At 42.3% G+C, this 17,094-nt stretch overlaps 1 protein-coding gene and 1 long non-coding RNA gene across 8 annotated transcripts in view, besides 4 other annotated features; one reads left to right on the forward strand and one right to left on the reverse strand.

Annotated features, from left to right (window-relative positions):
• DCTN1 (dynactin subunit 1) overlaps positions 1-6,468 on the reverse strand; it is a 30,712-nt gene extending 24,244 nt beyond the window's left edge. For all 4 annotated transcript variants that reach the window (NR_033935.2, NM_001190836.2, NM_001378992.1 and 1 more), the window contains exon 1: positions 6,396-6,468. The gene's annotated coding sequence lies outside the window, so the exon portion shown is untranslated. The remainder of the gene's footprint in view (positions 1-6,395) is intronic.
• DCTN1-AS1 (DCTN1 antisense RNA 1) lies at positions 105-13,270 on the forward strand. 4 transcript variants are annotated; one of them, NR_158172.1, is made up of 4 exons: positions 105-352; positions 5,761-5,845; positions 6,080-6,217; positions 6,591-8,483. It is a non-coding gene; the product is annotated as a DCTN1 antisense RNA 1 (long non-coding RNA). The 4 variants fall into 4 exon arrangements; NR_024463.2 differs by having other exon boundaries at positions 6,596-8,483; NR_158174.1 differs by lacking the exons at positions 6,080-6,217; positions 6,591-8,483 and adding an exon at positions 9,656-13,270.
• Positions 5,968-6,017: an enhancer, noted in NCBI's record as "active region_16054". NCBI's record gives its function as "activates an Ori minimal core promoter by ATAC-STARR-seq in GM12878 lymphoblastoid cells {active_cell/tissue: GM12878}" and the evidence as "EXISTENCE:reporter gene assay evidence [ECO:0000049][PMID:35858748]".
• Positions 6,228-6,407: a silencer, noted in NCBI's record as "silent region_11658". NCBI's record gives its function as "represses an Ori minimal core promoter by ATAC-STARR-seq in GM12878 lymphoblastoid cells {active_cell/tissue: GM12878}" and the evidence as "EXISTENCE:reporter gene assay evidence [ECO:0000049][PMID:35858748]".
• Positions 6,576-7,118: an enhancer, noted in NCBI's record as "H3K27ac-H3K4me1 hESC enhancer chr2:74619101-74619643 (GRCh37/hg19 assembly coordinates)". NCBI's record gives its function as "activates a minimal SCP1, AML or CMV promoter by ChIP-STARR-seq in naive H9 embryonic stem cells {active_cell/tissue: H9 hESC(naive)}" and the evidence as "EXISTENCE:reporter gene assay evidence [ECO:0000049][PMID:30033119]".
• Positions 7,119-7,660: an enhancer, noted in NCBI's record as "H3K27ac-H3K4me1 hESC enhancer chr2:74619644-74620185 (GRCh37/hg19 assembly coordinates)". NCBI's record gives its function as "activates a minimal SCP1, AML or CMV promoter by ChIP-STARR-seq in naive H9 embryonic stem cells {active_cell/tissue: H9 hESC(naive)}" and the evidence as "EXISTENCE:reporter gene assay evidence [ECO:0000049][PMID:30033119]".
• Positions 13,271-17,094: the final 3,824 nt, after the last annotated feature.

A 17,094-nucleotide genomic window follows, 5' to 3' on the forward strand; every position in this document is an offset into this window, starting at 1 on the left:
TGCTGATTCCTCCCCCTGAATCAACCAGCAAGTTCCTGGCACTAGGACCCTGTAGACAGGGAACCCTGAGCCTGCGCTCTAAAGAGAGAGATGCACCATTTCACAACTTCAGCAAAAGCCAAAGCAGCCAACAAAGCCACAGCCCTATCGGCTGTACTGGGCTCTGCCTTTTGGGCAGCTCGCCGGCCACTCCCCAAAAGCAGAGCATTCCATCCTTTCTCTTTTTAAACCCACGTCATCATCTGATCATAATGGAAATCAATCTCCTCAAACCACCATGCAAAGGCGTATCCATGGCAACCTCAAAAGGAAGGACACAGAGATGATGCTTCAGTGGCTGCAGCAGGAAAAGGTAAGTCCGTTTCTCTTCCATCCACGCCATCCCATCACTCTCTCCTTTCACTCAAGTCAGGTATACAGCTTACCTACAAATTGTATCTGTCACACAAACTGAGAAAACACATAAGGTGAGTTAATAATCATTATGTTATTATATAAGGTTTTAGATCTGCCTGTCTCTCTGCCAAGAAAAAATTCTCCTTTTCTAGGTGATAGGAACAGGGACAAGGTCTCTCTTCTTATTCACCTCTCAGATGACACAATCTCAGCCCACAATACCTGACAAATCACTATCGGTCACTTGTCTTTCTAGTCAGGATGCTGGAAAAATCACTCAAGAATATCCGAGTTTCCCTATGTAGTTGTCAAAAGCTGACAGCAACAGTGATCCCACTGTCCTGCCCCCTCCATGCCACCATCATGCCCACAAACTGGCATGGTAAGATTCCCTCCTTAGCAACCCTAGACTCTAGGCTCTCAAGGTTCAGAAACCGGGAGTTGGGATTAAATTTCTGTCTTCTCTGATGCCTCAGGAAAAGGAATCCATTTCTGCAGACGTAAGAGATTCATCAAATACAAGCGCTACTAATCCTCTATGCCTCAATTTCCTCTTCTGGAAGAAAGGGATAATAACAATAACTTTCTAACAGGATTGTTGTAAAAATCACATGAGAATGCCTGAAAAGCACTTAGAACAGTGCCTTGTATAAAGCACTCAATAAATGTCAGCCATTATTATTATGAGAAAGATGAAGGGGAGGCTTATAGTGTAGGATTTCAGTTCAGAGGGTACTCAACACTCTTGGAGCTTATTTCAGTTCCACTGTCTTCCTCTTTCCTCTTAACAGTTATTTCAAGCTTCCTTTACATTTTCAAGTCCTTACTCCCACCCAAGCCAACACCAGCATTCCCACCTCTCAGCAGATAACCTTGCTGAAAAAGAAAACTGGCCCTATTAGGTAAGAATTTCTTTGAAAATTTAGATATATCTGCATGCATATGTCATTATCTCTTTCTTCCTAAATTCCTTCCTTTCTTCCAACATTCCTCTTTAAAGAAAATGGTATCCCCTTCTTTTCAGGGCCCACCCCTTCCCCTCTCCTCTGAGGACTTGATTTAGCAATCGTCTTTTCTCTTGTGTCTTCATTGCACCCTGTCTACTGGATCTTACATGGCATCAGAAAACCCATAAACAAGACTTCCATTCTAGGAAAAACAAGTCCCTGCTACCTCTTCCACAAGCTGCCACCATTCTGTATTCTTCCTTTCTCTGCTGAACTACTCAAAGTGAGTACACATTCTCTATCTTCACTTCCCATCTACTTCTCGATCCATTGCTATCTGGCTCCATCCCTACCACTCCACTGAAGCTGCTCACACTTTAAAAGAGCCCTGGTGACCCCAATGTCCTACACAACCTCAAGGTGCATTTCCCAAGCTCATCCTAACTTGATCTCCCTGTAGCAACTGAGATTGTCAATCCTTTTCCTGGAATTTTCTCCTTTCCTAGCTTCCTGGGCAACATTCTCTCCTACCCTTGCACGTCAATCCTTCTCATCTCCTCTGTCATTATTTTCAGCCTTCTGTAAGCGTGGCTGGGAGACCTCAACCATTCCCACAACTTCAACTACCACTCATACTTACTGCCCCTAGACAGAAACTCTTCTGAACTTCAGACTCATATCTCACTGTCTGCTAACTGCCACAGAGCCCTCAAGTTCAATATGACCCAAAACACACTTGGTATCTCCCCCACCAAAAACAAACAAACAAAAAAAAGTTCTTCTTCTATATTCTCTCTTTGCTATTGGCACCACCATCCACTCAAAATAGAAAACTGAGTCATCCGCAACAACTCCCTCTCTTGTTCTCAACAACCAATTTAGTCATTATGTCTGGTTAATTCTGTTTCTCCAGTCTCTCTCAGATTCATCCTGTCCTCTCTATCCCCACTGACCTAATCCTTAGCTCAGCCCTAAACCATGTCTATGATATTACAAGAGTCTCCCGATGTCCCTGAACCAGGTTCTCCCCCTTCAATTTCCACATTTAGCTTCCCAAAATACAATCATGTCATCTTCCTGCCTAAAAGTCTCCAGTGGCTTCTCTGCCCACAAAATGAAATCTTTTTAGCACTGCACTACAGGCCATTAACAACCTGGCCTTGACCAAGCACAGTGGCTACACCTGTAATCCTAGCACTCTGAGAGCCCAAGGCGGGCAGATCACTTGAGGCCAGGAGTTTGAGATCAGCCTGGACAACATGGTGAAAGCCTGTCTCTACTAAAAATACAAAAATTAGCTGGGTGTGGTGGTGGTGCATGCCTATAGTACCAGTTACTCAGGAGGCTAAGTAGTCCCACCTGTAGTAGCTATAGTCCCAACTACTCAGGAGGTTGCAGTGAGCCAAAATCTCACCACCACACTCCAGCCTGGTTGACAGAGCAAGACTGTATCTCAAAAACAAAACAAAACAAAAAACTGGCCTCAAACTGGCACAGCAGCCTGCAGACCCACCTATACTCAGGAGGCTGAGGGGGATCACTTGAGGCCAGGAGTTCAAGGCTGTAGTGCGTGATGATCTTGTCTGTGAATAGCCACTGCACTCCAGCCTGGGCAGCATAGTGATACCCCATCTCTAAACAACAAAACAAAATAAAACAACATGGCTTCATTATGAATCCGGTCGCATCAATCACCAAAGTTCTCTTTTATTCCAGCCACTTGGATCTATCTGCCTTTCCCTTTATGCATCTGCAAATGTTACAAATGTCACCAGGACAATTCTTCCTCCTCATCCTTCAAGGCTCAGCCCAATTCTCACCTCTTTCCTAAAGACTCTCCTGGCTTCTCCATGTGGAGCTAATCATTCCCTCCTCTGTGCTCACAGAGCACTTGAGACATATCTCCATTTCAATACCACATTCTATTTAAAATATCATCTCTTACTCTACTATGAATTCCTCCAGGACAGAGGATTGTATCCATCTCAGTATCTAAGCACTCGGCGTAGGGCTTTGCAAAGAGAAGGTATTCAATGTTGAATAGATGCCTGTACCAACATCACACTCAGGATATAAACTGGCTCTGACAGCTTTCCCTGAGAGTAGCTCCACTCTTGAAGACCACCACCACTGGGGAAATCACCACTTATGTGCACATATGTACGCACACACACATCTCTCCCCTAACCCTCAGTAAACATGGCTCTTTCCACTCCAGACAGAAGCCTAAGAAACTAAAAGTGCAGGAACAGCCCTAGGTCCTATGGAATTTGGTAGTGACACTAAATCTCAATCCTGTATACTTTCAGGGTAAAAGAACCACAGAGACAGCTCTAGGTGAGGTGCAAATCTCCTGGGAAACAGCATTAGGAAGGATTTGGGGCAGCAAGGGCCCATGCTCTGCTGTAGTGAAGCCCTTGGGGAGGCCAGACTAAATAGCTAACCTGTCCCTTGATCACATTCAACTAACATCAGCCTGAATCTCAAAAGGAAAATGATACAAAGCCAAAGTCAGAGTCTCCAGGATGGCAAGGACCTTAATATAGATATGAATCTGGCAATATTCCAGCTCTTACATCTTCAGGGGACACTGAGGACCGAGTTCCTATTTTCCTTGGTATGGGACAGATAGCCCAAGTGCCCCCAGTATCACCTAGTAGCTGTAGACAGGCCAAGCAACCTGGGAATCATCTATAATCCCTTTCAACCTATAACTCCAAGCAGCTGCTAGCAATGATAGAGCTGGCAGAGTAAAACCTAGAGTGGCAGTTCTCAATGGTATTATGATTCACCCAACTACTTTGACTCCTCCCTAACAACTTCTTCTCCTTTGTACCCTCATGGTCAGTCAGGCCCCACTTATCAATTCGTCCTTAGTACTGCCTCCTGCATCTTTCCTTTCTCCTCCATTATCACTATCACTACTTCAGTCTGCCATGTAATAGCTTTGAAAATTAAGGCAAATCATTTACCCTCTTTGGTGCATCATCTACAAAACAGCATAACAGCTGCTCTGCCTACCTCGTAGGAATATTAGATCAAATGAAATCATGCCTGTGAAAAGTTCTGTAAAGTGTCATACATAAATATAAGGCATTATTATTATCAACCTAAATTGTCTAATATTGCTATGTGAAGCCTATCCAGCTCCGTCTCCCCCTCCTTCCCTAGTTCCAACCACCTTATACATCACAGTAAAGCACATACATCTGCTAAAATACTGCTTTGTCCCTACACCCATCTGCCCGACATCTTTCACTGATAATCTCATTTCTTACTATAATCAAACAATCCTGGATTCAACAGATGCAGTCCCATCTCTGCACCAGTGTCAACTGCTTAAGATACTTTTCTAGTCTTGCAAGCCACACCCATCCTTCAAAGTCCAGCCAAAGCCCCACTACACTCCACAGAGAACAAAGACAAATTTAAGAAAGGGATTTCTTAAACATAATGGAAGAATTAAATACAATTCCGCTTAGAAAAATCATAGTAGGCACAGCTGTCATCTAATACTTGGAGTCAACATTTTAGGAAGACGGGTAACACTTCTTTCCTGTTTGATTGTTAAGAGATAATCTAGGACCAACAGCATGGAAGTTGCAGAGATGTATTTCAGCAACATGAAGAACTTCCTTCTTGAGCTATTCCAAGAATAAAATGGGATGCCCTATATGCAGATAATTGCCCATTATTTTAAATGTTCAAGCCAAGCTGCAAAATTTGCCAAATTGGCAAGAATATTTCAGATAGAATTCAACACTACAGGGATAACTCGACTAGACTCACAGAATTTTAAATCTGAAAGAAATATTTGAGATCTTGTAGTCCAGACTCCTACCTTATAGGCCTGGACAGATAAAGTGACTCTCTCAAGGCAGCACATCTGTTCTGGAAAACATGGTCTCTAACTTTCAATCCAGTGATCTATACTTTTGCTACTCAGATTGTGTTCCATGGGCCAGCAGCATTAGCATCACCTGGGAACTTGTTAGAAATGCAGAACCAATCAGAATCTGTACTGTAACGAGATCGCATTACATGTGCACGCCATTAAAACTCAAAGCGCACTGACCCATACTGCCCCTTCTAAATCCTGAATTTCTAATTCTGGAACTCCAATTCCCAAACGGTTCCCACATGTTAGCCAGAGGCATCACCCAAGAATAACAGTATATCCTAGTAAAATTTTCAAAATTCTACATACCATACCCCCAGTTGGAGATTCATGGTAAATATTATTAGCATATTAAAGGCTCTGCAATATTCTGTAGTAAAGTTTAACCACGAATTTTCCAACAGCTTTCGAAAACAAAATGCCTTTTTTAAAAATAAAGTTATCATTATCTCTTTTAACATCTCATAGCTTAGGCTTTGGCAGTACATTAAGTAAAGGATGTCAATCTCTACCTCCTAGCTCTTCGCCTCTCGGTACCTTAAGTATACCTGAGTAGCCAGTGGTCAACATGGGTTTGCTGCTCTCCTCACTGCAATAAATGACGGTAAGTTTTCAAATCCCTGCCTCTGAAACAGCAGAGATCCTTATCTGTGTGATTTAGCTGTGGTTCTGTCTAAAGACAAGGGATGCGCAAGATGACCTCAAGGATCATCTTGCCAGCTAAGGCGGACCCCAGGAGTAGGATCACACACACAAGTCATATCCAGACTCCCATGCTGTGAGTCCTTTACGATTTTTCTCCCCGTTTGAGACGAATTTCTCAACCATGTGCCCACAGGAAACCTGTAGCTCAGTATGGATTCAGGGGCGCCTCAGACGCTCGCAGGAACGGAGGGGAGACCCTTGCAGTTCTGGAGGAACTCTAAGGCGCAGTCACTCTGATCCCAGGAGAACAATGCTAGGCTGAAGAGCTGAGGTGGGTCAGACCGGCCTCGGGGCAAACGCTCAGGCGGAGCCCCCGGACCCCGACAAGCGCCCACCCCTGCCAGTCCCCGCCCCGCACACCGGGCTCGGTCCCCAGCCCACCGCCGGCAACCTCACGAACACGTAGGGGGCCGGCGGAGCAGACGGTTGGCAGAGTCGCGCCTCCGTACCTGCACTGTGAGGGGCTCCGCGCCCAGCTCCGACCCCACCGACGACCGACGCCCAAGACCCTGCGGGGCCGGCCCCGCCCTCCCCGCCCTCGTGGGCTGCCCGACTCGCCGCCAGACCCTTCCAGGACCGCCCAGAACCCTTCGGCCCAGAGGCCCAGAGGCGTTCTGGGTCGAGTGAACCCTCTTTTCCCGCAGTCCAGCCCTGACTGAAAACTGCGCACCGACCGCAGCCGGGATTACATCAATCAGGCACAAAGCTGGACACCTGGGACAGGATAAGCGCACGCGCACTGTGCCTGGGAAGCCGATTAGGACCATAAGAAATCGGCGTGTCGTGGCGAGCGCCCTCTTTCGGCGGAGGGGAGAAAGCGCAGAAGGGCTGGAGGACTTATTTGCAAGTGTTAAACTGCTAATTAAAACAATAGCGATAAACCATATCTCCTCCATTAGCCTGGGGGAGAAAATTAAATGTTGCTGCTACTCAGTGTTACCTGTCATATGGGGATACAGGCATTCTCATGCGCTTATGATGGGAATGTAAAATACAAATTTACATAATGGCATTTTAAAATTTTAGACATAGGTTCAAATTCTTTTTTTTCTGTTTTTAAGACAAGGTCTCGCTCTGTTGTCTAGACTGGAGTGCGGTAGCACGCACAATCATGGCTCATTGCGGCCTTGACTTCTCAGGCTCAGGCCATCCTCCCACCTCTCAGCCTCCGTAGTAGCTGGGTCTGCAGGCGCGCACCACCATGCCCTTTTAATTTTCGTTTTTTGTTTTTTGTTTTTTTGTAAAGACGGGGTTTCACAATGTTGCCCAGGCTGGTCTCGAACCCCTGGGCTCAAGCGATCCAATCGCTTCGGCCTCCCAAAGGGCTGGAATTACAGACATGAGCCACCGCACCCGCCTGGGTTCAAATTCTAACTGCAATTTACTAGCCGTGTGAAATCTAGAGTTACTTATTTACCCTCTCTGTGCCTCTGTTTTCTTATTTGTTAAAGTGAGAATGTAAATGATGGTACCTATCTCATTATGTTGTTAGAAGGATTAAGTTAATCCATGTAAAGAGCTGGAAATATAACTATTGTAATGTTATATTTATTTCAGTTAATCTCAGATTTAAAACAAACTGAAAAATTCATAAAGTTGCTGTAAGGGGCAGTAAGCAGTAGAAGGGATGCATTGAGTATCCCCTTTATTACTCCCCCCTTTTCCCTATTTCACCTTCTAAATATTTATAATTATTATTTTGAATAGATAATACGTTTACATGGCTCAAAAATCAGAACACTATTTTAGAATATACACAGAGAAACCTCCCTTCAACCCTGGTTCCCATCGACTCCATCCCCCTTGCCTGCTACAGATAATGCTTATTAGTGTCTTCTTGTTTATCTTTTCAGTGTTTTGTGCAAATATAAACTCATATGAATATATAGTCTTACTCCTCCCATTTCTTATGCCAAATGTAGCATGCCAGATACAATTGGCATAAGTTCTGTTCACTTAATCTATTCTGAAAATCTTTCTAAATCAATAAATTAGAGATCTTCCTCATTTTTCAGCTGCTTAGTACTCTATTGCATGGATACACATAATTTATTAACCAGTTTCTTCTAGTTACATACTTTATTTCCAGTCTTTTAGTATTACAATCTTGCAATGAATCACTTTGAACATAATGACATTCCAATGTGAGCAGGCATATCTCTAGGATACATCTTGGTCAAATAATAAATGTATCTATAATTTTAGTAGAAATGTCTTCCATCTCCTTCAATTAAAGAAAAATAAAAAGTAAATATAAAGACTTTAAAAGATACTGCATATACATATTTTTAATTGTCGTAAAGCATACATAACATGAAATTTACCATTTTAACCATGTTTAAGTTCAGTGGCACTCAGAACATTCACATTGTTGTGCAATCATCACCACTATCCATCTCCAGAACTTTTTCACCTTTCTGTACCAAAAACAAACATGTAAGCAAACAAAACCCTCTGTGATGATCTGACAAAAAAACTAAAGTGTATGATAGAATGTGTGTAGGTTATATATAAATAAAACACAGTTGGCCCTCTGTATCTGTGAGTTCAACCATCCTTGGATTGAAAATATTAGGGGAAAAATGGATGGTTGTGTCTATAGTAAACATGTACAGACTTTTGTCCTTGTCATTATTCCCTAAACAATACAGTATAACAAGTGTTTACATTGTATTAGGTATTATACATAACCTGAGATTATTTAAAGAAACAGTTCCCGACCTCTTTGGCACCAGGGACGTGTTTTGTAGAAGACAATCTTTCCACAGACTGGGTTGGGCAAATGGTTTTGGGATGATTCAAGTGCATTACATTTATTGAGTACTTGATTTCTATTATTATTACATTGTAATGCATAATAAGATAATTATACAACTCAGCATAATGTAGTATCAGTGGGAGCCCTGAGCTTGTTTTCCTGCAACAAGACAGTCCCATCGGGGGTGATGGGAGACAGTGACAGATCATCAGGAATTAGAGTCTCATAAAGAATAAGCAACCTAGATCCCTTGCATGTGCAGTTCACAATAGGGTTCGTGCTCCTATAAGAAACTAATACTGATGATGATCTGACAAAAAAACTAAAGTGTATGATAGAATGTGTGTAGGTTATATATAAATACTATGCCATTCCATGGATTTTGGTATCCAAGGGGTGTCCTGGAACCAATCCCTGAAGGACACACAGCAACTACTGTATGTATCTCCTTCTGAGTGACTTTAACATTTAACCTGTGTGCTGAGTTTTTACTTGACACCAGGAGTTCAAGACCAGCCTGACCAATATGGTGAAACCCTGTCTCTACTAAAAATACAAAAAAAATTAGCAGGCATGGTGGCGCACACCTGTAATCCCAGCTACTTGGGAGGCTAAGGCAGGCAAATCGCTTGAGCCCGGGAGGCGGAGGTTGCACAGTGAGCAGAGATCATGCCATTGCACTCCAACCTGGGTGACAGAGTGAGACTGTCAAAAAACAAAAAAAAACCTGTGTGTTGAGTTTTTTATATAAAGCTGCCAGGCCTCAGGTGGGATGGGGGTGGTGATTCAGGAAAGACCAAAATGTTTCTCAGCATCATGAAAGGGATCCTACTGAATCATAAGGACAGGACGTGCTAATAGGAGAAATATTGATTTTTTTTTACATTTGATTAGGCTGAGTGGTCTTCAAGGAAAATTAATATTGTCTTTGTCCTGTGTTTTTCTTCATAGGTGCTGTTGTAAGAGATCCAGGCTGCCTTTGGCTTCCTCCAATGGGGAACCTGAACAAGGACCCCCAAACTCCTGTTCACATAACTAGAGCCCTTCCCCCCAACATGTGATGCTGAACAGAGAAGAACATCTGTGCTTACCTGGGTGAAATCCTAGGCATTATAGAATGTGGGGAAGAATCCATGGGAGAATCCTCCCCCTGAGGAAAGGGATGCTGTTTTCCAGGAGAAGGTGGGTTTTCAGACTGAAAAGCTTGGAGAGGGGAATCAATAGAGAGTAAATCAAAGATGACAAAGCCATGGGGGAGGACATGTGTGGGAGAGAGAAGCATCTAGATTAGCTATACCAGCACTGCCCAATAGACATAAATGTAAATTTTAAAATTGTTTTTAGTTGGGAAATAGGTTAACAAATTTTAAAGAAAATTTCTGGAGAAAACTTAATTTTTTAAAGACAGGATCTTGCTCTGCCACCCAAGCTAGAGTGCAGTGGCGCTATCATGGCTCACTGCAGCCTCAACCTCCCTGGCTCAAGTGATCCTCCTACATCAGCCTCCAGAATAGCTGAGAGACCAAAGGCCACCGTTTCTGGCTATTTTTAAAAATTTTTTGGAAAGACAGAGTCTCACTATGTTGTCCAGACTGATCTTGAACTCTTGGGCTCAGATGATCCTCCTGCCTTGGCTTTCCAAAGTGCTGAGATTACATGTGCGAGCCAAGATAAAATTTTATATAAGCCAGCCACACATATAATTTTAAATTTTTTAGTAGCGACAGTTTGTAAAAGTTAGAAAAAAAAAAGGTGAAATTAATTTCTTTTTCTTTGAGACAGGGTCTTGTTCTGTTGCCCAGGCTGGGATACAATAGCATGATCTCAGCTCACTGCAACCTCCACCTCCCAGGCTCAAACGATCCTCCCACCTCAGCTTCCTAAGTAGCTGGGACTGCAGGCATATGCCACCATGCCTGGCTAATTTTTATATTTTTTGTAGAAATGGGTTTTTGCCATGTTGCCCAGCCTGGTGAAATTAATTTTAACAACATACTTTATTTAAACCAGAATATTCAAAATATTGTCATTTCAACATGTAATCAATACAAAAATGAGGCATTTTACATTCTCTTTTTTTGCACTGTCTTTAGAATGCGATCTGTATTTTGCACATTTATAGTACATCTCTATTCAGATGCTAAGTTTTCATGGGACATCCTTGATCTGGTTTAGACTACATAAAATTTACAATTGAAAAAGTAGATTTATTTATTTATTTACTCATTCATTCATTCATTCATTCATGTCAGAGATAAGGTCCTTCTATGTTGGACAGGCTGGCCTTGCATTCCTGGCCTCAAATGATCCTCTTGCCTCGGCCTCTCAAAGCTGAGATTACAGGCCTGAGCCACCAGGCTCAGCCTGGAAAAGTAGATTCAGGTATGCAACTTATTTCAAACATTTTAACATATTTTCCAATAACTGAACTGAATACTTAAATGTATACATTTTTAAACATAAAATTAATTAAAAATAAATAAAAATTAAAATTCCATTTCTCAGTTACATTAGCCACATTTCAAGTGCTTAATGGCCACATGTGGCCAAGGGCTACCATATTGGTCAGTACAGAGATAGCGCTTCACTCCTTCTTCTCCCTGCTTTGTTACACTTTTATGAGAGGGTCTGGCCCTTCAGGAAAGGACCACATGTGTGTTCATTGCCTGGTTTGTTATAACATACAGGTAGAGTATGAGGAGACAAGGTGGCTTAGGGAGAGCCTGACCTACTGTACCCCTTTTCCTTCTGAGGTGGGGTAGGGAACAGCATGAGGGTGGTCCCCTGGGGGTTCCTTGAAAACTGTGTGATAAGAAGAATCCACAATGTAGGATAACCCAGAACGACCATAAAAAGTACAATGGCGACCAAGGACCATGCAATTTTAAAAAGTAAAAGAATTTTCAAAAGTAAAAAGAAGTGAATCACTGTAGAAATCATAAAGAAAATAATCTACAGATGAAAGCTTTTTGTTAAAACAAATACAGATCCTTGAAAAGAATGTAAGATCTCATTAGATTCTCTAAAATCAGGAATACGAAGATGCCGAATATCTCTGAGTCTGATCAACACTGTATTTGAACTAGTGCATCAAGGCAAGAAAAACGTATATAAAAGACATAAAGATTAGAAAGAAGGAAATTAAACTGTCATTTTTCACAGATGATATGATGACTTACATGGAAAAGGCCAAAATAGGCCGGGTGCAGTGGCTCACGCCTGTAATCCCAGCACTTTGGGAGGCCAAGGTGGGTGGATCACTTGAGGTCAGCAGTTCGAGACCAGTCTGGCCAACATGGTGAAACCCCATCACGACTAAAAATACAAAAATTAGCTGGGCATGCTAGCACGTACCTGTAATCCCAGTTACTTGGGAGGCTGAGGCAGGAGAATTGCTTGAACCTGGGAGGGAGGCAGAGGTTGCAGTAAGCCGAGATTGCACCACTGCACTCCAGCCTGGGCGAAGAAGCAAAACTCCATCTCAAAAAAAAAAAAAAAGCCAAAATAATCTGTAAATTATTAGGATTGATTAGAAAATATTTAGCAACGTGACTAGATATAAAATCAACATGCAAAACTCAATTGCATTTCTCTAACCAACAATGAAAAGTTAAATTATATAATTTTTGAAATGAAACTGATGCACCTAGTAATAAACAACAAAATATGTGCACAACCCGGCCAGGCTCAGTGGCTCATACCTGTAATCCCAGCACTTTGGGAGTCCGAGGCAGGCGGATCACAAGGTCAGGAGTTTGAGACCAGCCTGACCAACATGGTAAAACCCCGTCTCTACTAAAAATACAAAAATTAGCCAGGCATGGTGGCACGCGCCTGTAATCCCAGCTACTCAGGATGCCGAGGCAGGGGAATTGCTTGAACCCGGGAGGCAGAGGTTGCAGTGAGCCGAGATTGTGCCACTGCCCTCCAGCCTGAGTGACAGAACGAGACTCCGTCTTAAAAAAAAAGGTGGGGTGGTCAGGCAGGGTAGCTCACGCCTGTAATCCTAACACTTTGGGAGGCCGAGGCAGGCAGATCACTTGAGGTCAGGAGTTCGAGACCAGCCTGGCCAAAATGGTGAAACCCCGTCTCTACTAAAAATACAAAAATTAGCTGAGTGTGATGCCTGTAATCCCAGCTACTTGGGAGGCTGAGACAGAAGAATTGCTTGAACCCGGGAGGTGGAGGCTGCAGTGAGCCGAGATCGCACCACTGCACTCCAGCTTGGGTGACAGAGAGAGACTCCGTCTCAAAAAAATAAAAAAGACTGAGAGATGAGAGATGTGCACAACCCAAAATTACAAAATTATATTTGGAAACATACATTAAAGATAGCCTGTGGCTCACGCCTGTAATCCCAACACTTTGCAAGGCCAAGGCTGGTGGATCACTTGAGGTTAGGAGTTCGAGACCAACCTGGCCAACATGGCAAAACTCCATCTTTATTAAAAATACAAAAATTAGCCGGGTGTGCTGGCACCCGCCTGTAATCACCCAAGAGGCTGAAGCAGGAGAATCGCTTGAACCAGGAGACAGAGGTTACAGTGAGCAGGGATCGTGCCACTATACTCCAGCCTGGGCAAAGAAGCGAGAGTCCATCTGGAAAAAAAAAAAAAGGTAGCTTAAATGAATGAGAGATATAGCACACTTATGAATAGGAAAATTTAAAGTCATAAAGAAGTTAGTTGCCCTGTATTAATAATATGTATTTGAGATAACTCCAATCAATATTCTATCAGGATATTCTAGGAACTTGACAACAAATTAGTAATTTTGTAGAGAAAAGCAAAGGGCAAAAAATTAGCCAGGAAACTTCTGAAAAAAAGAAGACAGTTGACACGGTGAAACCCCATCTCTACTAAACATACAAAAATTAGCCGGGCATGGTGGCGCGCGCCTGTAGTCCCAGCTATTCAGGAGGCTGAGGCAGGAGAATGGTGTGAACCCAGGAGGTGGAGCTTGCAGTGAGCCGAGATTGCGCCACTGCACTCCAGCCTGGGTGACAGAGCAAGACTCCATCTCAAAAAAAAAAAGAGTGTGGCTGTGTGTGTGTGTGCTTATTTTAAAGTTTATTAAGTAAAGCAATATAGTATTGACGTAGGGATAGAAAGAGTCTAGATCTAAAAACAAACTAAAACATATACCTACAAAAACTTCGTTTTTTAAAATTATTATTATTGTTTTAGAGACAGGTTCTCACTCTGTGACCCAGGCTGGAATATAGTAGTGTGATCATAGCCGTAACCTCTAACTCCTGGGCTCAAGCAATCCTTCTGCCTCAGCCTCCTGAGTAGCTAGGATTGCAGGCAGTCATCACCACACCTGGCTAATTTTTTTATTTTTATTTTTGTAGATACGGGGTCTTGCCATGTTGCCTACGTTGGTCTTGAACTCTTGGCCTAAAGTGATTCCCGTACCTTGGCCTCCCCAAGCGCTGGAATTACAGGTGCAAGCCACCACACCAGGCCAAAAACTTAATATATGACAAAATTTGTATTATTGATCAGTGAGGGAAAGATATACCATTCAAAAAATGGTGCTGGGACAATTAGGTATTCAAATGCAAAAGCAAGCAAGAAAGGAAAGAATAAAAGAAGGAAAAAAGGGAGGGAAGGAGGGAGAGAGGAACAAATTAAGTGCTTCCATTTCTGGTGCTACCGTGGACTAAATATTACGGAAACTTCTGATATACTGCAACTAAAAATGCTGGATATAATATTTAACAACCACACACACTCTTTCACCATAGGGATTCCCAGTCCACCCCCTTAACTTTCTGAGTCACTCTGTGACCCTGCCAGCTACAGGTTTTTCCCAGCAAGCTTGAACCCAAACTGGGGCCTTGAACATTTCCAGGCACTGTTAAAGGTATCTAGGTTGCCCAAAATATTGAAATAAACTGGCCCCAGCCCTGAGCCAAATTTCTTAAACCCCCATTTAAACTCCATACCCTGACCCCTCCTTGTGGACAAACCTAGGTAAGACATCCTGTTTTTCTCTCTGTCCATCTTGAAAATATGCTGCAGCACTCTATATGTAAGTTCTTCAAATAAATCCTTTGAACTGATACCCCAGGCTTTTAGTGCTTCCTTCTTTGGAATCCCAACCAGCCCCATCTCGAGATGGTTTGGGGCGCTCCCTTGTGGGAACTCCCTTACTTTGGGATCAACTTGGGGTGACTCCAGCTGCAGGTTGGCAGAACAAAACATTCACACACACCCACTCACACAAACACACACACACACACACACAACTATTTATATTGCCTGACTGCACTGGTAGGAAAGTAAGAAAATTCTTCAGAGTATAGAGATGATAGGAAAATATGAATCCCAAAACACAGGTGATCACTGGAGCCAGTGTTTGCTAAGTAGTCAACCTCTGGTGGTCTGGAACCTGGGTTTAAAAGTCCATAAGAAGTAGATAGAAGGTTGGGCATGGTGGCGCACACCTGTAATCCTAACACTTTGGGGGGCCAAGATGGGAGGATTATTTAAGCCCAGAGTTTGAGACCATCCTGGGCAACACAGCGAAACACTATCTCCAAGTGGGGATAGGGACAGAAAATGAAATCATGGATGGTTGGAATGGAGAGCTATCCCCCGCCACACACATAAGCCAGGAAAAAGAGTAACATCCTCCATAGAGTGAAAAACAACAAAAAAGAGTCCCTTCCAGAGGGAAACAGTAAGGGTAAAAGCCTATCTTAGTGGTGAGGAAAAGAAATCTTCTCTGATTATTCAAATAATAAACTTGTACTCATAGAAGTTTAGGACCAGAATATATATATATATATATATATTTTTTTTTTTTAAAGTCCCAAAACAAAAATTTAATTTTAAGTGGTACCAAGTTGTTTAGTACTCCTGGGAACCCGGCCAAATGAAATGTAATGAGGGAATGCACTTTAATTACAGCCTTAAATAATTTCTATAGCTATAGTTCCAAGAAGGATGAGTTTACAGTCACTAAAAACATAGGAAACAAGTCACCATAAACTGTTCGAGCCTGCAAAGATTATAGATACTGGAATTTTCAGTTACAGTATATAAAATGAATAAGCTAAGTATATTTTTAAAACATATAGGAGGATTTAAAATATAAGAAAGGAACAGAAGAGTATCAAAATTGACCAGATAGATTGGAAAATAACTAATTATAAAATCTAGTAATAAAAAAATAATGGGCTGGGAGCAGTGGCTCACACCTGTAATCCCAGCACTTTGGGAGGGTGAGGCAGGCGGATCATCTGAGGTCAGAAGTTTGAGACTAACCTGGCCAACATGGTGAAACCCTGTCTCTACTAAAAATACAAAAATTAGCCGGGCATGGTGGCGGATACCTGTAATGCCAGCTACTCAGGAGGCTGAGGCAGGAGAATCACTTGAACCCAGGAGGCAGAGGTTGCAGTGAGTCGATATTGTGCCATTGTACTCCAGCCTAGGCAACAAGAGTGAGACTTTGTCTCAAAAAAAAATTAATTAATTTAAAAAAATAATGATTGGTAACATAAGGTTACTAGATGGAATAAACAAGAGATTGGCCATGGTTGAAGAAAAAAATTAGTAAGCTGGAAAATAGATCTTTTTTTTTGAACTAGAAGTGTTTATTGCAGAAATTTGGCCAAGGTTCGAATTGGGGGCCCAAATAGAGCTTTTAAAAAATGAACTTAAATGTAGCTTTAACATATATAGACAAGGAAAATATGAAAGAGAAATTAAGAGACATGAAAGATAAAGTGGGAAGATCTAGCTTTTATCTAAATTGCAATTCTATAAAGAGAGAAGAAAAAGGTCTGGGCACAGTGGCTCACTCCTGTAATCCCAGCACTTTGTGAGGCCAAGGCAGGAGGATTGTTTGAAGCCAGGAGTTTGAGGCTGCAGTGAGCTAGGATTGTGCCACTACACTCCAGCCTGGGCGACAGAGGGAGACTCTGTCTCCAAAAAAAAAAAAAAAAAAAGAGAGAGAGAGAGAAAGTGGGGGGTGCAAAGGAAGGAAGAAAGGAGGGAGGGAAAAAGGGAAGGGAGGAAGGAAGGAAAGAAAGGAAGGTAATGAAGAGATTGTTGTATTTAAAGAGTAATACAGGTTAGATACATATCCTCAAATTCAGGAAATCCAAGGAATTCCCACCAGAATAAATAAAAAGAAATTCACATGTAATAAATTCGTGAGTTTATTACAATGAAACTAGAAAAGCAATGACAAAGATAAAATCTTAAAAGGAGGAAAAGAGAAAAGGCAAAATCCCTGCAAAATAACTGTTAGATTAACATCAATTTCTCAATAACAATGAAAGCCAGAAGACATAGAAATACTGTATTTGTACGGGGTTGGTGGCTCACGCCTGTAATCCCAGCATTTTGGGAGGCCGAGGCCGGTGGATCACCTGA

The sequence above is a fragment of the Homo sapiens genome, chromosome 2 (genome assembly GCF_000001405.40).
Source record: "Homo sapiens chromosome 2, GRCh38.p14 Primary Assembly".
NCBI classification, from domain to species: Eukaryota; Metazoa; Chordata; class Mammalia; order Primates; family Hominidae; genus Homo; species Homo sapiens.